The 24,122-nt window shown below is 42.1% G+C and overlaps 1 protein-coding gene across 8 annotated transcripts in view, besides 3 other annotated features; it reads left to right on the top strand.

Moving 5' to 3' along the window:
* BTBD9 (BTB domain containing 9) overlaps positions 1-24,122 on the top strand; it is a 471,479-nt gene that overhangs the window by 201,643 nt on the left and 245,714 nt on the right. The gene's annotated exons all lie outside the window — the stretch shown is intronic.
* Positions 1,871-2,563: an enhancer, noted in NCBI's record as "H3K27ac-H3K4me1 hESC enhancer chr6:38403500-38404192 (GRCh37/hg19 assembly coordinates)". NCBI's record gives its function as "activates a minimal SCP1, AML or CMV promoter by ChIP-STARR-seq in primed H9 embryonic stem cells {active_cell/tissue: H9 hESC(primed)}" and the evidence as "EXISTENCE:reporter gene assay evidence [ECO:0000049][PMID:30033119]".
* Positions 2,564-3,255: an enhancer, noted in NCBI's record as "H3K27ac hESC enhancer chr6:38402808-38403499 (GRCh37/hg19 assembly coordinates)". NCBI's record gives its function as "activates a minimal SCP1, AML or CMV promoter by ChIP-STARR-seq in primed H9 embryonic stem cells {active_cell/tissue: H9 hESC(primed)}" and the evidence as "EXISTENCE:reporter gene assay evidence [ECO:0000049][PMID:30033119]".
* Positions 4,641-5,333: an enhancer, noted in NCBI's record as "NANOG-H3K27ac hESC enhancer chr6:38400730-38401422 (GRCh37/hg19 assembly coordinates)". NCBI's record gives its function as "activates a minimal SCP1, AML or CMV promoter by ChIP-STARR-seq in naive H9 embryonic stem cells {active_cell/tissue: H9 hESC(naive)}" and the evidence as "EXISTENCE:reporter gene assay evidence [ECO:0000049][PMID:30033119]".

The raw sequence follows: 24,122 nt of genomic DNA, 5'->3' as shown, positions 1-24,122 counted from the left end.
CTGCAATCCAGTAGTAGTCTGTTCCTTCCTTCCTTCCTCCCTCCCTCCCTCCCTCCCTCCCTCCCTCCCTCCCTCCCTCCTTCCTTTCCTCCTTTCCTCCTTCCTTCCTTCCTTTTTTTTTCCTGTTTGGCCTTACTGAATCAAGTAGTAGTATTCTTCAAGCTAGATCCTTTCTACAAATGTTTTCAGGCTTCAGTCAGTGCTGTTGATGTGAGTGAAAATATCCTCGCTTCGTATCCCAGGAGATCCCTGGGTTTTGGAACCAGTAGACTTTGTTTAAATTAGAATTCCATCTTCAATACTTACATAGCTCTATGTGACCTTGAAAAGATTTCTTAAAATCTGAGACTGAGTCTGACATGTCACCTTTCAACATAGGTTACTTTCCTTTTCCTTTCTTTCCCCTTTTCATTTTGTTTTCCCATTCCCCACCCAGAAAAAAGACTTGACCACTGGATTTTTCAAAGCCTAAATACAGAGATCCTATTTGAACACTGTCCCCTGCTTAAAAATTGTATTTTAGTTTACTCTTGAACATTTCAGTATAATCTTCAACCTTAATTATCATTAATGAAACCTTCTTCTCTACGTGAACTCTGTACTAAGCAGAAAGCCTGGAATCCTTACAAGCATTACAAAGTAAGACAGATATGTCTGGGGTATAAGATTAAAGATGAAACACATCAGAAAACATGTGGAAAGGGCATTACAGTTTTCACAGTCTTTCTCAAAATGTCTTTCTTTTTCAAAGAAATAACAATAAACCCAGAAAAAGACATATATTATTTTCACATGTCTTCTTTTCAGTGAATAGAAGTAAAAATTAATAGTAATGGGAAAAGAACATGAATCCAGATAAGGTATTTGCATCGTCCTATATTTCTTCCTCTGAAAACTGTTGTGAGCTGGCAAATCCTGCAGTTGATAAACTCCAGAGCCATGGGGGACAGGGGTAAGATACTCACTAGGACCACCCCGCTTCTCTATTGTCAGGAGTTACCAGCTGCCGTGACCCTCCCTTCGCTACCCTGAGGCAGTGGCACACATCCAGGGGAGCTTTGTCGTTAGCATCTTTGGTGTCCACCTGTCTTTGTGTCACGTTGACCTTTCAGTCTTAAAAATATACACGTGATCATAGTTGACTCTGTATTTATGTATTCATACTCCTTAAGCCTTAGGTTTATTGTAATTTGTATTAATTAGATGCTTAATATGCATTATCACCAACCCAGCCCTTTTTGATACTGTGTTTGATTGTGCAACATTAGGAGGATAAGGGAAAAACTGGCTTGCTTTAGATATCACAGAAAGCCAGGAAAAAGCTGAGTGATTGAAGAGTGGTACACATATACATATTCCTATGACTACAACTATCATCATCGTTGTAGACTTGTAATTTATAGCACTTCCTGTTTACAGATACTGAGAGAAACTCACTCTGTGACTTGAATAATGCCAACAACCATGAGTCAGAGATGCTGTTCTTACTGAGGGTAAAGCCAGGGAGTTGGGAGCGCAAGCAAGGCATTCAAACCTGTCCGCTCCCTTCTTTTTATGAAAAACCCCTTGAATGAGAAAGTTGATGTCAACATATATCCAAATTAGAATTTGGGCCAGGTGTGGTGGCTCATGCCTGTAATCCCAGCATTCTGGGAGGCCAAGGCAGGCGGATGACCTGAGGTCAGGAATTTGAGACCAGCCTGACCAACAGGGTGAAACTCCGTCTCTACTAAAAATACAAAAATTAGCTGGGCGTGGTTTCGCACGCCTATAATCCCAGCTACTCAGGAGGCTGAGGCAGAAGAATTGCTTGAACATGGGAGGCAGAGGTTGCAGTGAGCCGAGATCGTGCCGTTGCCCTCCAGCCTGGGCAACAAGAGTGAAACTCCGTCTCAAAAAAAAAAAAAAAAAAAATAGAATTGGGGTAGATATTATTGCTTCATTAGTTTCACATACAGAAGATTCTATAGCCCTTCTTCTCAGTGTTGGAAAATAAAGTATTTATAGAAAGTAGCGTGGGAGATTTGGATTTAAGACAGGAAATTGGAATGTGTCTTTTTGGGTGTTCCTCATTCTACTGCTTATGTTGACTATGGGCAGGAATCTTTACCTCTTAACTTCATTTTTTACGTTTATTGAAATGGTACTTTCTATTTATCTACTTATCAGTACTAGGCAGATTCTGTATAACTTTCAGTTTCAGGATACTTAAGGAATTTATGACATTTCATGATTTTGCTCCAAATTGTTAACTTTGTACTTAGAATGTTAATATTGAATGTCCCCTTGGGCCTATGGTTATACCAGTATACTCTCTGGGCTGGGTGAGGTGGCTCATACCTGTAATCCCAGCACTTTGGGAGGCCAAGGTGGGCGGATCACTTGAGGTCAGGAGTTTGAGACCAGCCTGGCCAACATGATGAAACTCCATCTCTACTAAAAATACAAAAATTAGCCGGGCGCAGTGGCGGGCACCTGTAATCCCAGCTACTCGGGAGGCTGAGGCCGGAGAATTGCTTGAACCCAGAAGGTGGAGGTTGCAGTGAGCCAAGATCACGCCACTGCACTCCGGCCTGGGCGATAGAGTGAGACTCAGTCTCAGAGAGAAAGAAAGAGAGAGAGAGAGAAAGGAAGGAAGGAAGGAGGGAGGGAGGAAGGGAGGGAGGGGGAGGGAAGGAAGGAAGGGAGGGAAAAGAAAAGAAAGAAGGAAGGAAAGAAGGAAAGAAAGAAAAGTAGGTCTGTGAGTTTTTTTGGTGCAAAAGTTGGCTGTTTTTTCTTTTCTAGTGTGTTCTAGACTTTTTTTAAGAACAAAACTTTAACCATGCTTTTCTTTTTCTTTTTTTCACTGCAACCTGTGCCTCCCAGGTTCAAGCGATTCTCTGCCTTAGCCTCCTGAGCAGCTGGGATTACAGGCACCGCCACCACACCGGGCTAATTTTTGTATTTTTAGTAGAGATGGAGTTTCACCATATTGGCCAGTCTGGTCTTGCGCCATAAACCTAAGCCTGGTCATTCTGATACAGTAGCCTGCATTAGTCTACTGAGGATATGGAACATAGGGAATATTAGCAATTAACTTCCCCCCCACCCCCCGAGACAGAGTCTTGCTCTGTTGCCCAGGCTAGAGTGCAGTGGTACAATCTCAGCTCACTGCAACCTCTGCCTTCCAGGTTCAAGCTATTCTCCTGCTTCAGCCTCCCGAGTAGCTGGGATTACAGGCATGTGCCACCATGCCTGGCTAATTTTGTATTTTTAGTAGAGACAGGGTTTCTCCATGTTGGTCAGGCTGGTCTCGAACTCCCGACCTCAGGTGATCCACCTGCCTCGGCCTCCCAAAGTGTTGGGATTACAGACGTGAGCCACTGTGCCCGGCCAAATACACCATTTCATATAAGGGACTTGAACATCTGCAGATTTTGTTATCTGCAGGGGTCCTGAAACCAATCTCCAGTGGATACTGCGGGACTGTAGTATACATATATCTGTCTATATAAAACAACTAAAACAAAATTTAATGCATAATCACAAATTTCCTGCATGATAGACTACTACTAGGGAGAGTGTGTAAGAGAAAGCTATTTGAATTTGAATTCAGTCTTTTGTTGACAAAAAGAGTCAAACTATGTAAAATATTTGAAGAGATTTATTCTGAGCCAAATATGAGTGACCTTGGCCCGTGACACAGCCCTCAGGAGACCCTGACAACATGTGCCCAAGGTGGTTGAGGTGCAGTTTGGTTTTTTATACATTTTAGGGAGGCAGGAGACATCAATCAAATACATTTAAGAAATACAATGGTTTGGTCCAGAAAGGTGGGACAACTCAAAGCGGGGCTGGGAGGTGTTTCAGGCTATAGGTGCATTTAAACATTTTCTGGTTGAGTTTGTCTAAAGACCTGGGATCAATAGAAAGGAAATATTCAGGTTAAGATAAAAGATTGTGGAGACCAAGGTTCCTTTGAAGTCTCATAGTGGCTGACCTTAGAGACAACAGATGACGAATGTTTTCTATTCAGACCTTTAAAAGGTGCTAGACTCTGTTAATCTCTTCAGGGTTGGGAGAAACTGGAAGAAAAAGATCTAGCTATGTTAATAGAGATTCTTTACAGATGCAAATTTTGCCCCACAAAATTTTTTGCAGGGCCATTTCAGAATATGGCAAAGAAACTTGGGGTAAAATATTTTGATTTTCTTCTTTGTCACATAATGCTATACCAGAGTCAGAATGGAAAGTAAGTCAGAATATATAGTGTTAAGTAAAACTCATCTGCTGAGAATATATGGTTTGTAGAGCATGACTCGCCAGACCCCTTAGAGAAGAATTTGGCCAGGATAAGAAAAATCAGAGCTTAGTCCTCACTTTCAGCAAATAGCGATTGAGTGCCAGGCACTGTTCCAGTCATGAGTATACAGCAGTGAACTTAACAGACATGGTCTCTGTTGTTATGGAACTTACATATTATGGTGGAGGAAGGGAAGACAATAAATAAACAGTGAAATAAACATGGCAATTTCAGATATAATGAATGCTAGAAGAAAATAAAACATGGTAGATGTCACATGTGTCCATGTGAAGAGACCACCAACAGGCTTTGTGTGAGCAACAAGGCTGTTTATTTCACCTGGGTGCAGGCGGGCTGAGTCCAAAAAAGGAGTCAGCAAAGGGAGATAGGGGTGGGGCTGTTTTATAGGATTTGGGTGGGTAGTGGAAAATTACAGTCAAAGGGGGTTTTTCTCTTGCAGGCAGGGGCGGGGGTCACAAGGTGCTCAGTTGGGGAGGTTCTGAGCCAGGAGAAGGAATTTCACAAGGTTAATCGCTCAGTTAAGGTGGGGCAGGAACAAATCACAATGGTGGAATGTCATCAGTTAAGGCTATTTTCACTTCTTTTGTGGATCTTCAGTTGCTTCAGGCCATCTGGATGTATATGTGCAGGTCACAGGGGATATGATGGCTTAGTTAGGGCTCAGAGGCCTGACAGTAGAGGGATGAGAAACTTTTGAGTTGGATCATCATAGAAGGTAAAGTTTGAGCTGAATCTTAACTGACATGAAGGAATTAGGCAAGTAAAAATCTCAAGGGGAAGCATTCCAAGTAAAGGGAGAACTTTGCAGAATCCTCAAAGATGGAATGAACTTGGTATACTCAAGGCACAGAGGAAGGCCTGTTTGTGCAAGAGCTAGTGCAAGTGGTAGTATGTGAGGCTGAAGATGTGGCTGAGAGCCTGATCATATAGGGCTATCTTATTCAGTTTTCTGTTGCTATAACAGAATATCTGAGACTGGGTAATTTATAAAGAAAAGAAATATAATCACCCAGTGGGTTGTTCCTACCTGCTGCACAGAGAAAACCAATTCACTGAGACTGTGCTATTGCAGTAGAGAAAGAGTTTTATTAATGTGAAGCTGGCCATGCAACAGAACTGGAGGTATCACTCAAAGCAGAAGTTAAGGTTTTTCAAGGATAGTTTGGTGGGCACAGGACTAGGGAATGGATGCTGCTGATTGGCGATGTAATCTTAGGAGTGTGGAAAATGGTCCTCATACACTGAATCTGCCTCTAGGTGGGGAGGGTGTGTGCCACAGGACCTGTTGAATCATAAGTCATTAGTCATGAGGTCAGTGGGTTGCCAGAATGCAAAAGTCTGAAAAACATCTCAGAAGACCAATCTTAGGTTCTACAATAGTGGTGTTATCTATAGGATCAGTTGGAGAATTCACAAATCTTATGACCTCTGTCCATGTGATTCTGAGCAGTAAGGGGATTATGGAAACTATGCCTACATTTTAGCAGAATTCAGGACCCTCCCATAATCCCAATCTTGTGGCCTCTCATTAGTCTTACAAATGGTGTCTCAGCCCCAAATGAGGAGGGGATGTTTTAGGGAGGGACTGTTATCATACTTAATTCCAAATTCCTCCCGCTCAGGAATGAGTGAGGACAGTCAGCCTGTGAGGCTAGAGGCAAGATGAAGTCAGCCATGCGAGATTTCTCTCACTGTCATGATCTTTGCAAAGGCAGTTTCAGAACTATATTTGGCTCACAGCGCTGGAGGCTGGGAAATCCAAGGGCATGGTGGCAGCTTCTGGCAAGGGCTTTTTTACCACATCATAACATGGTGAAAAGCAGAAGGGCAAGAAAGCTTGTGCAAAAGAGACAAAACATGATAGCCTTCCCTCAAAACAACCTACTCTTGAGGTAGCTAATCCAGTCCCGTGAGAGGAAGAATTCACTTACTTCCACCAGAATTCATCTGAAAGAGCAACATTAGTCCCTCTTAAAGATCTAATCACCTCTTAAAGGCCTCACCTCCCAAAACCACCATACCAGGACCAGGTACCAGATTTCCAACACATGAATTCTGAGGGACACATTCAACCCATAGCAAGACCCCTGTAGGCCATGTCGCAGGGTTAAATTGTATTCCAAATGAGATTGGATGCCATTAGATTTTAAACAGCTTTTTAAAAACTAAAAAAGTGTTTCACTCTTGCTGCAATGGGGATATAGACAGACAAGAGTAGAAAGCAGAGAAACTAGTAAGGAGGTACACTATTCATTTATCAGTCTAGAGGAGAAATGATAGGGGATGTGCATTGGGTGCCAGCAGTAGAATTGAAGACCTGTGGTCAGAGTCAGGTTATATTCAGAATTTGCTGACAGAGTAGATAGAGATTAGGAGAGAATTTTTTTGTTTGAGCAAGGGTGTGAATGATGGTAGATAAGACAATGGGGAGGAGCAGGTTTGAGGGATGGGAATCTAGGGTTTTTGAAGGCTATCTTAATTTTTAAATGCATGGTTCTGGCATTTATTACTTGTGGAATATTGAACAAATTATTTCAATTTCCTCATCTGTGAAACTGGGTTGGTAATAGTATGTATGCTATATGGTTTACATGAAAATTAAATGTATTAATGCCCTGAAGCACTTAAAACACAACTGGACACATACTGTGTTCTCAGTAAATGTTAGCTATTGTTGCTGCTACTGTTAATATTATTACTATTACCCATAATCATAATATTAGTGTATGTCCACATGAGATATTGAAGAGGCAATAGGATTTATGAGTCTGGAACTCAGGAGAGAAATCAGGACTGGAGATAAACTTTGAGAGTTATTAGCATACAGATGGGTATTGAAAACCATGGGACTGGGTGAGATTTCCTATGGAGAGAGGAGAGAAGAGAAGAGAGACAAAGACTGAAGAATGGGGCCCTTCACCTTTGGAGGTCAAGACAAAGGCGTAGAGTCAACAACGAAATGAGAAGGAGCTGTCAAAGGACAGAAGGGAAACCTGAAGGGTACTGCATTGTGAAAGCAAAGTATAGAAAGCATTAAAAGACAGAAGTCAACCACATCAAATGACGCTGAGAAGAGTAAGACCAGGACAGACCTGACCATTGGGTTGGCACAGGATTAATTGATAGCAGCCTTGTCAGGAAACATTTCAGTGGAGTGATGGGAATGAAAATCCTATTGGAGTAGCTCATGCCTGTAATCCCAGCGCTTTGGAAGACTGAGGCTGGAGGATCACTTGAGTCCAGGAGTTCGAGACCAGCCTGGTCAACATAGGGAGACCCTGTCTCTACAACAATTTAAAAAACAAAAATTAGCCAGGAATACTTAGGGTAGTCCCAGCTACTCAAGAGGCCTAGGCAGGAGGATCATTTGAGCCCAGAAGTTCAAGGCTGCAATGAGCTGTGATCATGCCTCTGCACCCCAGCCTGGGCAACAGAGCAAGACCCTGTCTCAAAAAAAAATTTTTTTTTTTCAGCTGCGGTGGGTCATGCCTAGCCCTTTGTGAGGCCAAGGTGGGAAGATTGCTTGAGGCCAGGAGTTCAAGATGAGCCTGGGCAGCATAATGAGACCCTGTCTCTAAACAAAACCCATAAAACATAAGTTGGGTGTGGTGTGGCACAAGCCTGTGATCCCAGCTAGTTGGGAGGGTTAGGCAAGAGGATCCCTTGAGCCCAGGAGTTCGAAGCTTCAGTGAGCTATGATCATGCCACTGCACTCCAGCCTGGGCAACAGAGGGAGAACCTATTTCTAAAAAAATAAAATAAAATAAAAAAGTTTAAAGCCACATTCTGAATAATAAGGAAAAAAAGTAAGGAAAAGGATAGTACCTACCTAGGAAAAATCATCTGATGTTATTTGCTATCAGTGACAAAACAGAATTATAATCTCCTACCTTACTTTACTTTTCTTCAGTAAGGAGTTTGGTCTTCAAACAGGAAAGGAAAAAACAAACATGTTTGAGAAGATATGGGAGCCCAGGGTAGGTAAGAGAATCAAAGGGAGATTAAATGAGTATCTTCCACTTTAAATTAATTCTGATCTCTAGGTTCTGCTGAATTACATCCCAGGAAGCTCAGAGAACTTTCAGATCTGATTTTGGAATTTTCATTCAGCATAATTTTTAGCAAGAAGCCTAATATTATATGTGATTGTTTTTCCCCCAAAAGGAGAAATTCTCTATGCAAAGAGGCTTGGCTTTTGTCCCTGGCAGTCATTCTAGAACTAGCAATTAACCTGATAGTTTCTGAGCATTTGAGAAAAAATGCGTAACACTAGTAACCAACTTGAATTTTCTGAAAATAAGTCATTCCGAAATAGATTTTCCTTTAGGGTTTTATTGTTGGAAAATTGGAGCAACACTGTAGATGCAGTGTAACTTGATTTTAGCCAAGTATTTGATGGAGTTTCTTATGACGTTTTGCAAATAAGAGGAAGGATAGGTTAACATTTAAGTACGTATGTGTGCAAGGTGCTCAATAGGGTGGTAAAATTATATTCAAATCCGTTTTTCTTTCTTTTTTTTTTTTTTTTGAGACGTAGTCTTGCTCTTGTCACCCAGGCTGGAGTGCGATGGTGCGATCTCGGCTCACTGCAATCTCCGCCTCCTGGGTTCAAGCGATTCTCCTGCCTCAGCCTCCCGAGTAGCTGGGATTACAGGTGCCTGCCACCACGCCTAGCTAATTTTTGTATTTTTAGTAGAGACAGGGTCTCACTATGTTGGCCAGGCTGGTCTTGAACTCCTGACCTCAAGTGATCCGTCTGCCTCAGCCTCCCAAAGTGCTGGGATTACAGGCGTGAGCCACCATGCCCAGCCCAGTTGTTGGTTCTTGAATCAGTGATGCCCATGAAGTATCTAATGGGGTATCACTGGATTTTGCTCTTGGCTCTCTCCTGACCAGAAACCTAGAAGAAAATATAATAGGCAAGTGGAAAGAACTAATGCAGTAGATGACAGAGTCAAATGAAAAATCATTCTGGGGCCGGGCGCAGTGGCTCACGCCTGTAATCCCAGCACTTTGGGAAGCCAAGGCAGGCAGATCACGAGTTCAGGAGATCAAGACCATACTGGCTAACACGGTGAAACCCCGTCTCTACTAAACATACAAAAAATTAGCCGGGCGTGGTGGGCGCCTGTAGTCCCAGCTACTCGGGAGGCTGAGGCAGGAGAATGGCGTGAATCCGGGAGGCAGAGTTTGCAGTGAGCCGAGATCGCGCCACTGCACTCCAGCCTGGGCAACAGAGTGAGACTCCATCTCAAAAAAAAAAAAAAAGAAAAAACGAAAAATCATTCCAATGCCTGAATAAGCTGTATTATTTAACAGTTGTTTGGGAACCATTCATTGGTTCATTCATTTACTCATTTTTGAGAGCTTTGTATCAAACACTGTTCTTGGTGTTGGGAATGCATGAGAAAACAAAGAGAAACAAGTCATGGACCCTGTGTCTTCAAGGACCTTATAGAGTGTGCCAAAAAAATGCTTTAATACGGATCACTCGAGCCCAGGAGTTCGAGGCTGCAGTGAGCCGCGATCATGCCACTCACTTCAGCCTGGGCAACAGAGAACGTAGTTTTAGTTGGGAGTGGGTGGGGGTGGGGCATTAATAGAGCAAGTGCTAACATGCTAACATAGAGTTGTGTACAAAGGTTTTTGGGGGCCTAAAGATGGGAGTGGTCAATTCAACCAGGGTGCTATTCTATTGCAATGCTGCTTTTCCTTTCAAGGGCCCAACTCCTGAAGAAGCATGAGTGACCACTTCAAACTTCTCAGTCCCCTTTTAAAAGGTCCTTCATGAAGCACCTTTGATGTTCAAATGTCAGGGATATATCTCGTTAATCTTTGGTGCCTGTTCTGCCCCACTGTTATCCCCCTCACCCAAAAAGCTCCCTTCCTAGAACTTTCAGCCCTCAGAGTAGCTGCTCTTTGTTCCTCATTCCTTTGAAGGGGCCTGCTTACCTCTTTTTATGCAAATATAGAAAAGTACCTTGACTTATGCAAATGTTGAACATTAACACTTCTAGTGCCCAGGAGCAATGTTCCCTCAAACATTACACTGTTCAGGAGTAACTAACTATGAAGGTTAAGCATACAGGAACAGTTTAATCTTGCAATCAAATAAAACTTACTCTAGTTAACACAGTACAGGTAATAACATACCTCATCGTTATTGTGCTGCATTATAATTAGTCAAGTAGAGAATGGTTGACCTAAGAGAATGCAATTCATATTTATTTTATGCAGTGGAAACAGATCTTTGTGGATTTTCTCTTCTTTTTGTTAGTTCTCCATTACCTATAATTATCTTGATTGTTGACAGGGGTGTTTTTTGAGACCACTATAATTTAATCTTTTTGGTTCACTGATAAGCACACACACAAATACTTTGACACACAGGTTAGAAAAACAAAACTCCAGCATTTCTAGCTGCAGGGATTTCCTCTTTTCCTTTCTAGGGAGGCATCTTTTCTGTGCATGGCTAGCCCATGCAGTATATGGTTGCTCCAGCTCCCTGGTGCGTACTTTTCTCAGCTCCAGCTGTGCACTGGAATCATTTGGGGAGCTTTTACAAAAGCCCAGTGCCTAGAGCTCACCTCACAGAGAACCTAATGAAATTGGTCTGGGGTGCATCTGCTATCGGTATTTCTTTTTTCTTTTCCTTTTTCGAAATGGAGGTCTTGCTGTGTTGCCCAGGCTGGTCTCAAACTCCTGGGCTCAAGCAATCCTCCTGCCTGAGCCTCCTGAATAGCTGAGATTATAGGTGGGAGCCACCATACTCAGCATGGCATCAGCTTTTTTTTTTTTTTTAAAGCTCCTCAGATGATTTTAATATTCAGCTATGGCTGAACTGCACTGCCATAAAGGGATAGAGGTACAGTGGTTTCTTGGTTATTTGTCCAGGAGAATGGACATGGGTATCAGGGTGCTGTGGAGGGCAGAGAGGTCCTACAGGCCTAGGATGTAGGATACAGAACGTAGAATCGCTACCTGGGAATCTGGGGAGATGGGGAATTGAAGCTTCACTGAGACATTTCAGGGGACACTGGAGGCTGGATGGTCTCTCTCTTTGTCTAGACATGATACTGTTACCAGGGTTCCTTGCTCACAGAGCTTCCAAGATGGTGGCAAGCTGCTTCCGAGATGGTGGCAAGCCTCGTGTTCTCTGACCTGGGGTTCTTGGCCTCATGGATTCCAAGAAATGGAATCTTGGGCCATGCAGTGAGTGTTATAGCTCTATTAGAAGCTGTGGGTCACGGAAGAGAACCGTGGAACCCAGTGACTAGTGTTCAGCTCAATTAGGACGAACCCAGGCACTTAGCCATGCAGGAACAATGGCAAGCCTTTAGCCCAATCGGGAGTGGCAATAGGCGCCTCGCTGGATCAGGAGCACAGCGGACACCCTGCCGGATCCGGAAGAATGGAAGTCAGCGGTGGGTCTGCGACGGCGGCAAAACAGCAGTGGTGGATGGCGAGCAAAAGCTCAGCTCGAGCCCTAACAAACACGGGCCAGAAGAGTGCAGTTGCAAGATTTAATAGAGTGAAACAGAGTGAAAACAGAGCTCCCATTCAAGGGGAGGGGACCCAAAGGGGGTTGCCGTTGCCCGCTCGAATGCCTGGGTTTATATCCCGATCCTTGTCCCTCCCGCCGTGCTGTCAGGCAATAGATGATTGGCTATTTCTTTACCTCCTGTTTTTGCCTAATTAGCATTTTAGTGAGCTCTCTGATTGGTTGGGTGTGAGCTGAGTTGCAAGCCCCGTGTTTAAAGGTGGATGCGGCCTTCCCAGCTAGGCTTAGGGATTCTTAGTCGGCCTAGGAAATCCAGCTAGTCCTGTTTCTCAATACCACATCAAACATTCTTCATTAATTACTGCATCCCCTGGGAACAGGCTTGAAGCAGCTCTGGACAGCCCCTCCTCTCCACCTGGAGGTCCATCCTGATCCTACTTTTTGTAAAGACATCAAGAATTATGACACACGTAGCTTCTGGTTGGGCTTGCTTTTATAGCTTCTGGTCTGGGCTTGCTTTTGTTTGTGTGTGTGTGTGTGTGTGTGTGTGTGTGTATGTGTTTCTTGAGATAGGGTCTCACTTTGTCACCCAAGTTGGAGTGCAGTGGCTTAATTATGGCTCACTGCAGCCTTGACCTCCCAGGCTGAAGCAATCCTCCCACCTTCACCTCCTGAGTAGCTGAGACTATAGGCACACACCACCAAGCCCTGCTAATTTTTTTTTTTTTTTAGTTATTGGTAGTGATGGGGTCTCACTGTGTTGCCCAAACTAATCTCAAACTCCTGTGCTCAAGTGAGGAGGACCCACCTCAGCCTCCCAAAGTGCTGGGATTACAAGCATAAGCTATCATGTCCAGCCTGGGTTTATCCTTAAATAATATGTGATTGCAAGGGACAAACTAGAACTCCCTCTCCTATTCTCTCTCCCTATATGTACTTTACACGTAGAATCTCAGAGCTTAAAATGAATCCCACATAATTCCTCTCATTTTTAGATGAGATGTTGAAACTGGTAGAAATTAAATGTGCTGCTTACTGTCACACTAGTGTTATAAGTGTTAGAACTAGGGCTGGGCTCGGTGACTTATGCCGCCTGAGTAGCTGAGATCCCAGCACTTTGGGAGGCCGAGGCAGGCAGATGACGAGGTCAGGAGTTTGAGACCAGCCTGGCCAAAATAGTGAAACCCTATCTCTACTAAAAATACAAAAGTTAACTAGGCGTGGTGGCAGGTGCCTGTAATCTCAGCTACTCAGGAGGCTGAGGCAGGAGAATCACTTGAACTTGGGAGGCGGAGGTTGCTGAGATCACGCCACTGCACTCCAGCCTAGATGACAGAGCAAGACTCTCACTCAAAAAAAAAAAAAAAGGCCGGGCACGGTGGCTCACACCTGTAATCCGAGCACTTTGGGAGGCCAAGGCAGGTGGATCACCACGACCAGCCTGTTCAACATAGTGAAGCCCTGTCTCTACTAAGAATACAAAATTAGCTGGGTGGCATGTGCCTGTAATCCCAGCTACGGGAGGCTGAGGCAGGAGAATTGCTTGAACCTGGGTGGCGGAGGTTGCAGTAAGCCGATATCGTGCCACTGCACTCCAACCTGGGGAGCAAAGTGAGACTCTGTCTCAAATAATAATAATAATAATAAAAATAAAATAAGATAAATAGGCTGGGTGTGGTGGCACATGCCTGTAATCCCAGGCCTTTGGGAGGCTGAGGCAGGTGGATCACCTGAGGTCAGGAGTTCGAGACCAGTCTGACCAACATGGTGAAACCCTGTCTCTACTAAAAATACAAAAATAAGCCCGGCGTGGTGGTGTGCACCAGTAATGCCAGCTGCTTGGGAGGCTGAGGCAGGAGAATCTCTTGAACCCGGGAGGCAGCGGTTGCAATGAGTCGAGATCATGCCACTGCACTCCAGCCTGGGCGACAGAGCGAGACTCCATCTCAAAAAGAATAAAAAATTTAAAAATATACTTTTTATAACTTTTATAACTCATTCAGATTCACACCTAGTAGGTTGAGAGATCTACCTAATGTTTGTGGCCCATAATTGACTAAACATTTACAATGAGCTGGAGCATTGTCATTGAGCCAGTTGTTGGGCGGTATTATATTTTTTCTGTATCACAGAGAATTTCCCAATTGCTTCCAAATTTGTTTCTTATAAACTGAATGGACTATATGACCTTGTATGATGAATTTTCAGTGAACTTATGCTATCTGCTTGCTGATACCTGAAGTTTCTTTAAAGGAACCAGAGACTTTTATTCTGCAATGAGAAGTAAAAGCCTACAGTGCAGATGCCTTGGAAATATAATCCACTTGAAACTCATTCAGTCATTCACAAGTTTTCATTAGTCAATGAATGAGTATAAAATTCATGCTAATAACCATCACTTATTTAGTTTATCCTGGGTACCTAGCCTAGATGCTTTGAATACATATCTCCAGTAATTCACACAAAAAGTTGAATGCCAGGATTATTTTCATTTTGCGGAGAAGGAAACCAAGCCTCTGAAAGGTCAAGTAACTTGCCCATGGTCCTGTAGACAGGAAGTGAAAAAGCTGAACATGGCACGGGCCCTGTCGTGAACTACTTAAAAATATAGTCGCTTATTCATCTTAGACCACCAAGACTGAATTGAATTTTTAATTCTGAAGACATTCTTTTAATGCATTGTATCTGCCTTACCATTTTTTACTATATGATTTAACTACAAAATCCCAGTACTAACTTTTATGCTTTGACCTGGTGGATTTCAAGTTTTGTTAATTATTTTGGGTCTAATTCCCAAAATGAAAGATTTACTTATAATAACCTGTTTGGCATTAATATTTGTGTCCTTTGGTCATTTTATGGTAACTTGTAAAGGAGCTGGTCAGGTACAGTTGCTCACACCTGTAATCCCAGCACTTTGGGAGCCCGAGGCAGAGGATTGCTTGAGCCCATGAGTTTGAGACCACCCTGGGCAATATAGTGAGACCTTATCTCTCCAAAAAATTTAAAAATTAGCCGAGTGTGGTGGCACATGCCTGTAGTCCCAGTTTCGAGGGAGGCTTAGGTGGGAGGATCACTTAAGCCTGGGAGGCGGAAGTGGCAGTGAGCTGAGATCGTGCCACTGTACTCCAGCCTGGGTAACAGAACAAAACCCTATCTCACACTATTTAAAAAAATAATAATAATAATAAGGTTTTAATTTTATGTATTTTTTGGGGGGGACAGAGTCTCTGTCTGTTGCCCAGGCTGGAGTGTACTGGAGAGATCTTGACTCACTGCAGCCTCCACCTCCCAGGTTCAAGCGATTCTCGTGTCTCAGCCTCCTGAGTAGCTGGGATTACAGACATGCACCACCAAGCCTGGCTAATTTTTGTATTTTTAGTAGAGACGAGGTTTTACCATGTTGGCCATGCTGATCTCGAACTCCTGGCCACATGTGATCTGCCCACCTCAGCCTCCCAAAGTGCTGGGATTATAGGCCTCAGCCATCACATCTAATCTATTTAAAAAATATATATTTAAATAGAGATGAGGTCTCACTATGTATCTGACTTACCTGGTCACTATGTTGACCAGGCTGATCATGACTTCCGGGCCTCAAGCAGTCCTCCCGTCTCAGCCTCCCAAAGTGCTGAGATTACAAGTGTGAGCCACCGCATCTGGCCAAAAAGAAGATTTATAAAGGGGTTAATGGATTTTGATAAAGAACGTCAAAATATACCAGTGCCTAGAAAACCCTGTGTAAAATAATTAGGGAGGCAAATCGTGACCTCTGAGAAAGTTTTTTAAATGGAGATATTCTCAGTGATTATCTTGAGTTTTATTTTTCATAGAAGATATAGTCTTAGAATGTTAGATCCCTGTTCTACAGGGATCCCTATTCTACATCTTCATTTCATTTAGAACATTGGTTCTTATCCCTATCAGCACCAATATTCCCTTTTTAAAAGAAATATTATCCAGTGCCCCTTACTCTCCTGAAATAAAATTTATAGAAAATATAACCTGCCCACACACATAAACTTTTTTTAAAAAATCAATATAACCCCAACTGTTTTTAGTGGAATTTAATCAGCTTATTCTAAAATGTATAAAGTATAAAGATTAAAAGTAGCCAAGTTACCTATGAAGGAAAAGAATGGGTTGTAGGAAGGGGCACATGAGGGCTTCTGAGATGCTGGGTAGGAGTTCATTTTACAGTAGCTTGCTAAGTTATTCCTTTATACTTTATCCATTTTTGTATATATTGGTTCTATCACAGAAAGGGTGTTTGACTAAATCAATATTATGTTCTAGCTGTACCATAAAGGAGAAATGAAATAATTAGACTAGAAGGGTGAAGTGCTCCAGCAGAACCCAGAATGCTCCCCAGAATGATACTACCCCCCATGAAAACCCCTGGTTTAGAAAATTAACTTTGTACGGAGGTTTACAATTGCATTTGAAGGCACTGGCTTTTTGTTTAATGAATTGAAAAACTGTTTTTAATTAGTTATCCTAAATCCCTTATGCTTCATTCTGAACCTGTTATCAGTGAACTTAATGGAATCCAAGAGTAACTGATCATTACTTTCAGTCACAAACATGCATATTTTTTGCCAAGTTTTCTGCATTTCATATTTATACTCTCCATTTACTTTTCTTTCTTTATTTCTTTTGCATTACTGATGTACCCTGTACTTGTCATTAATGAACTTAATTATTTCATTGATAATTTAACCTTGGTCAGAACTTCTAGTGTCTGCTAATGCCTTACTGTTTGTTATCATCTCAAAATTCAGTAGAGTCGGCCTCTCGTCCATTTATCTGGTCATGGATGAAATGTTAGACATAGAGGATGATTATGACTAGCTATATTACTATGAACCACTAAAATCTGCTGCTCCATGTGCTTTTATCCTGAGGCCAATATACGGAAGCCTGTCTTTGAGATGGGCTGTCAGCAGCCTTAGACATACATGTACAAAGGAAGACCGAAGTCAGGCTTAAGAATTATTAAATTATTAGTAGATAAAAATTTTGAAACCAAAACACATGTTTAAAAACAAATGAATAAAATAATCTTGTCTTCTAAATAATCTTGCCTCCTATTACTGTTTTCTTTTTTGTTTGTTTGTTTGTGTTTTTGAGATGGAATCTTGCTCTGTCTCCCAGGCTGGAGTGCAGTGGTGCGATATTAGCTCACTGTAACCTCTGCTTCCTGGGTTGAAGTGATTCTCGTGTCTCAGCTTCCCTAATAGCTGGGATTACAGGCACCCATCACCACGCCTGGCTAATTTTTTTTTTATTTTTAGTGGAGATGGGGTTTTGCCATGTTGGCCAGGCTGGTCTTGGACCCCTGACCTCAAATGATCCACCTCGGCCTCCCAAAGTGTTGGGATTACAGACGTGAGCCACTGTGTCCAGCCCTATACATTTTTATTATTAAATACCCTTTAAGACATCATAAAAGAAAATAAGGATCTTAAAAGCTTTAGACAATCCTATCACTGTAACTTTTTTTACTGTATTTGACAGTTATAAAATGCATATAAGTTATAAAATGTATAGTTTTTTTAAAAGTTTGTGCTTTTTTCTTATGTAATTGTTTTATTATGTTATTCTAGGATGTTATTATTATTATTATTTGAGACGGAGTCTCACTCTGTTGCCAAGCTAGAGTGCAGTGGTGCCATCTCAGCTCACTGAAACCTCTGCCTCTCAGGTTCAAGTGATTCTCCTGCCTCGGCCTCCTGAGTAGCTGAGACTACAGGTGTGTGCCACCATGCCCAGCTAATTTTTGTATTTTTAGTAGAGATGGAGTTTCACCATGTTGGCCAGGATGGTCTTTATTTCTTGACCTTGTGATCCCCCTGCCTCAGCTTCCCAAAGTGCTGGGATTACAGGTGTGAGCCACTGTGCCCGGCCTAGGATGTTATTATTATTTTTTTTAACCTTCTCTGTGTAGCCATCACAGGTACCAATTTTAATGGCTGCATGATATTCCATTATTTTGAGAAATCCTACTGTTGGATATGGATTTAACAAGTGAGAAACATTCTCAAAGGTCCATGACCCAGGGATTTTATTGATGCACAAGTCTGAGTCACTGCTGCTATTACCCCATGTGTGCTGAATACATTTCTCAGCTTGTGAGTATAGTTTCCTGCCCAGTATAAGCGTTTCAGTGCCACTCTGTTGTTTTCTACTGGTCCTTAATATGCACAATAACTCTTATAAAGTCATTAAAGAAAAATCTCTTCAGAGAGTTAGATAAGTTCCTGGATATCAGTCATCATAGTAATGATGCAGAATAGTGTTCATTTTAGTGGCAAAATTGGCATTATTAGTATTATAAATTGTTGTAGTCTTCCACTTACAGAATAATTAAAAGCTTAGAAAGATTGATTTTTTTTATTACTTATTTGTTAGGAAATGAGATGTCAGTGTTTTTTTTCAGAATTTGTAGATTTATGAGTACCTTGGGATAAATCAGTTTTGACTATTTCAGGTCTAGTATCATTTATTTATATTCCCTTGTTGTTACACATTTAGTTTGTTGAAAGGAAGATTGCTTTGAATACCATAAAAAATGTTAAAATAGTTTCCCTTAGTATTTTTTTTGTTTTGTTTGAGATGGAGTTTCGCTCTTGTTGCCCAGGGTGGAGTGCAGTGTCGCGATCTCGGCTTACCGCAACCTCTATCTCCCGAGTTCAAGCGATTCTCCCGCCTTAGCCTCCTGAGTAGCTGGGATTACAGGCATGCACTGCCACAACCGGCTAATTTTGTATTTTTAGTAGAGATGGGGTTTCTCCATGTTGGTCAGGCTGGTCTTGAAATCGCGACCTTAGGTGATCCGCCCGCCTCGGCCTCCCAAAGTGCTGGGATTACAGGCATGAGCCACCGCACCCAGCTCCCTTAGTATTTTTAAGCGAGTATTTTAGAGTCTTCCTAAATTAGCATTTTCCCTTCTTTTATAAATAGATGATATTCTGATTCTTTTAATCACAATGTATTTTAAGTTTCAGGTCAAGTAAGAGATTGACAGGTCTCATAAATGAAATGTACAAATATTTTTAATAGCACTATTTTTTGTAACAGCTTTATTGAGATATCGTTTATATACCATACAACTCACTTGTTTAAAGTATGTAATTCAGTGATTTACAGTGCCACAGTAAATTTTAGAACATTTTCATTCCCTCACAAAGCAACCTAACAGGTTTAATATAATAGTGGCCCATGTCCTCTGAGCCATTATTTCAGTAGACCTTAAGTAAAGAGACAGGGTCAACACCTAGAAAAGTTACAAAATACATGCATTAAAATAGTAAACTATTAATAGCGGTATCCTAAATAAAGGTAAATCCTATACTGTAATTTCATCTGTTTATTTTCCTTAAATACAAACACACAGCTATTTACTGATCTTTAGCCTGCCTGTCTTGCTATTTTGTAAGAATGGGTTTAGTGATCTTTAGCATACCTTGCTTCACAACAGTGGTTATCATAGTTGTATCTTCTAGTCCATGCATTCCCCTTTTATTTATTTTTATTTTTAGAGACAGGGTCTCACTTGTCCAGGCTGGACTCAAACTCCTGGGCTTAAGCAATCCTCCTGCCTTAGCCTCCCAAATAGCTGCTGGGACTATAGGCACGCGCCACTGTGCACAGTTGCTATTCTAGTCCATGCATTCTCATCCAAGGTGATATTGCCCCAAGGGAGTAAAAATTCATTCCTGAGGTCTAAAAGAACTTACTCTTTTTATGTATAAAATACAGTTATACATATAGTACACAAACGGATACACAGTATAGCTGTGGGACTAAAATTTCTTGAGGGGTAGGGAGCAGTTGGGGAAAAAATGTTTTGAAAAACTCCTTAGGGTGGTCATAATTAAAAACAGGTTGAGCAATACTGCCATAAGGAGAAAACTCATCACTTCAGAGGGACCTGAGAAATTTCAGGTTCTATTAGAAGATTTTCCTAAGGTTCTCCTATAGCAACCAGCAAACTCACTCACTCACTCATCTTGGTACACACATACATTCTCTTCTCTCTGCATCCTTTTTTTCTCTTTGGTGGGGGAGGAGCAGAGTGGAAGTGGTAGAGATAAAGAGGAGAAATGGCCAGCATACACTTCAGTAGGTAAGTCCAGACTGTCTGATTTGTGAAAGGATAGCCTTACATACAATTAGGCCAATTTCTGCATCTGAGCCTTAACACATTTACACGGTAGTTGTGCAACCCTAAACATATTTATTCCTGTATTTAGAGTCAGAAAGAGTGATTTTGTGTAATTTATTTCTCTTGGAAGGCTCATCTCATACCAATGCTTTTGTTTCATCAAGATCCTTTATATTTTTCCCTTAAATTTCCAATGCGGTTAAATCTGACTTTTTATGGGCCATAAGCAAGACATAAATGATGATAGAAAAAAGCATTCTTCAATTATAGGAGGCAAGAATTCTAGGGTACATTGTTCAGCTGCTTTCTTTCCCATGGTAGAAAGCTGATAAATGAATGACTTTTAAAAGGTGTGCCTTTTAAAAAATCTTCCCCTTTGGGAAAAAGTTAGCTGTGATGATTGGCTATCCAAAACAAAGACTGCTTCATATTATGGGAAAATGAAAGTCAACTAAAACTAATATTCATATACTTATTTATTTGAAAAATACCAGTTATGTGTCAATATTTTTTTTCTCTCTCTCTCTCTCTCTCTCTCTCCTCGAGACAGGGTGTTGCTCTGTCACCTAGGCTGGAATGCAGTGGCGCAATCAGGGCTCACTGCAGCCTCAACCTCCCAGGCTCCAGTGATCCTCCCACCTCAGCCCCCAAGTAGCTGGGACTATAGGCACGTGCCACCATGCCCAGCTTATTTTTGTATTTTTTGTAGAGACGTGGTTTTGCTATGCTGCCCAGGCTAGTATCAAAGTCGCAGACTCAAGTGATCCACTAGCCTCAGCCTCCCGAAGTTCTAGGATTACAGATGTGAGCCACTGCACTGACCTATGTGTCAACACTTTATTAAGTGCTAGGGCACAGAGGTGAATAAGACAAAGCCTTACCCTTTAGGAGATTACATTCTAGGCAAGGATATGGATTTAAAAACAGTTAACTTTTACATGTGAATTAGATAAGTGCAATATTAGAGCATGTCCCAGGCAATGTAAGAGTACAGTGGGAGACACCTGACTTGTCTACAGGGCTAACTACAGCATTACTTCTTAGGAGCTGCCTTTACAAATAGAAGAGGTCAGCGTGGGCAGGGTAGCTCATGCCTATAATCCTGGTGCTTTGGGAGGCCAAGGATCCCTTGAGGCCAAAAGTTTGAGACCAGCCTGTGTAACATAGTGAGACCCTGTCTCCACACAAAAAAAATTTTAAAAAGAATAATTAGCCAGGTGTGGTGGCATGTGCCTGTAGTCCTAGCTACTTGGGAGGCTGAGGTGCAGAGCACCTTGTTTGAGCCCAGGAGGACAAGGTTACGGTGAGCTGTGATTGCACCACTGCACTCCAGCCTGGGCAACAGGGCAAGACTCGGTCTCAAAACAAACAAACAACAAAACAAAACAAAACCACGAGGTCCTTGGGCAAAGGCTGGGACCTGCATGTCACACATAGAGCAATGTAGCTTCCAGATCTAGGGTAGACCAGTAATTTGGCACCCTTTCTGGAAATGTTCAATAGTACTGAGGGCTGGAGAGGAGGACAAGGGCTGAGCCCTTTGGTGACTGTGCCCCAAATTGCAGAGCCTCCTCAGCCATGTTTTGTATTTAAATGCGGAAACTGAAAGATGTGAATAAGGTAAGTGTGACATTAGAGAGTGGCTCCAGGCAATGTAAGAGTACAGAGAGGGGGCCAGGCGTGGTGGCTCATGCCTGTAATCCCAGCACTTTGGGAGGCTGAGGCAGGCGGATCACGAGGTCAGGAGATAGAGACCATCCTGGCTAACAAAGTGAAGCCCTGTCTGTACTAAAAAAAAAAAAAAAAAAAAAAAATTAGCTGGGCATGGTGGCGGGCACCTGTAGTCCCAGATACTCGGGAGGCTGAGGCAGGAGAATGGCGTGAACCCGGGAGACGGAGCTTGCAGTGAGCCGAGATCACGCCACTGCACTCCAGCCGGGGTGACAGAGCAAGACTCCATCTCAAAAAAAAAAAAAAAGTACAGAGGGGGACACCTGACTCCTCCATAGGGCTGACTACAGCACTACCTCTTAGAAGCTGCCCTTACAAATAAAGAGATTAGGGTAGGCAGGGTAGCTCACGCCTGTTATCCCAACTATCTACAACTCAACATCTATCTGTGCCACTGAAGAATCTCTTTGGGGCTTTCATTCCACCCTACCCTACCCTACCCACCTCCCAGTGGCTAATCAGAAGTGTTTTTCTCCAGTCTCATAGAGTACTTGGTACTATGGAATTCTGTTAAGTGTAATTTTCCTCTCTTTCTTTACATTTCTAGCAATGTATAGTGCCTTAGCGATGTTTTGATGCTACATCTAGCCAATCTGTCTGGTTCTGGCCAACTTCTCTGGCTCTGTTAGGACTTCATAGACTCTGTTAGGGTGTTTGAACTTGATCCCGAAGTCAGTGAGGAGCCATTTGAAGAAATATGAGTGAGGCAGAATTTTTTTTTTTTTTAAGGACTGCAGCCTGGGCAGCCTAGCAAGAATGGAGGATCAGTGGATAGGAATGGAGATAGATGAGAGTGCCAAACTCAAGACAGAAACCAGTAGGAGGCTGTGATAGTCTAGATGAAATATTATCACGTTGCAATAACGGGGATGAAGAAGAAGAGGAATTGGATTTGAAAGTTATTTAGGTAATAACTGCTGCAATGCTTAGAGAGTAATTGAATAGAAGTAGAGGATAACTCTCCACCTTCTACCTTGGGTGCTGTATTAGTTTCCTATTGCTGTTGTAACAAATTACCACAGACTTCGTGGCTTAAAACAACACGAAATAATTATCCTGGAGTTCTGGAAGTCAGAATTCCAAAATGGGTCTCACTGGGCTAAAATCAAGATGTCATCAGGGCTGCATTCCTTTCTAGAGGCTCTAAGGGAGAAAGCATTTTCTTTGCTTTTCCAGACTCTAGAGGCTACCCATGTTCCTTGACTCATGGCTCCCTTCCCTCTTCAAAGCTAGCAATCTCTGCCTTCCTCTTCCACTTTTAAAGGCCTTTGTGATTACATTGTTCCCACCCAGATAATCCAGGGTAAATAATCTCCCCATTTTAAAGTCAGCTGATTAGCAACTTTAATTCCATCTGCAACTTTAATTCTCTTTGCCATATAGTCTAATATACTCACAGATTTTGGGGAGTAGGATATGGACATGTTTGGGGAGGGTCATTATGCTACCTACGAAAGGTATGCCTTTGTAGGTAGCTAGGTCTATATTGATAATGATGCCATTTGCTACGTTAGAAAGGGGAAAAAAGCAACTTAGAGTGGGAACATTGAGATGATAACTTTTATTTTAGATGTTTAGGGTTTAAAGTACCTGTAGAACCTTTTAGGGGAAGTGTCTAGTAGGCAATTGAAAGTATGGGTCTGGAGCTTAGTAATTCTTAATTTGGGTGTCAGTAGTTTTAGGAGAGTAGCTAAAATCATGATATACATGAGTTGCCTAGGACAGGTATATAAAGTAAAAGGAGAAAGCCGGGCACAACTCTTAAATAGCACCCTTGTTTATGGGACAGCATAAAGGGAGAGGGCCATGCATAAAGGAGAAGGATACTGATGAACAGCATAGGAGAGGCAGGAAGAAAAAAAGGAAGAGTGATATCACAGAAGAATGGGGTAGTCAGTTACATTAAGAGTGCATAGCAGTCAGCAGGGCTGAAAAATATCTGAACAGATCCCATGGAGTAGTGGGGGTGGAAGACCAATGGCAGGCAGCATGCTGAGGAATAAGTGGGAAGAAAGAAAGTGGAGATTGATGTGAAGGAAAAAGAAAAAAGGAGAAAGGGCAGTAGCCAGAGGGAGAAAAGGGTCTTTCTGTTGGTTGTTTTTAAAAAATAATATATGGTTGGGGGAAAAATGATGAATTCAAATCATCAGGGCCTTGTGACTTACATCCTTCATTATTCAGAGAATGAGTAAAATTTATTGGGAGAGCCACTATTAGCTATTATGTATGAGATGCCATGGAACACAAAAGACAGCTATAAGAATGAGAGAATACCTTCTGGATGACCCCAGTAGTTATGGATGTCTTCCTATTCCAGATAGCAGGGAGAATATTACAACATATTATCAAGCAATCCACTTAAAATAAGCACCTTCACAAGCACAAGGTACTGAATAGCAATGATTTTGTTTTTGTAAATG

The sequence above is a fragment of the Homo sapiens genome, chromosome 6 (assembly GCF_000001405.40).
Source record: "Homo sapiens chromosome 6, GRCh38.p14 Primary Assembly".
NCBI lineage: Eukaryota > Metazoa > Chordata > Mammalia > Primates > Hominidae > Homo > Homo sapiens.
The sequence above is the reverse complement of the archived record's forward strand: the minus strand, read 5'-3'. Positions and strand labels throughout refer to the sequence as shown.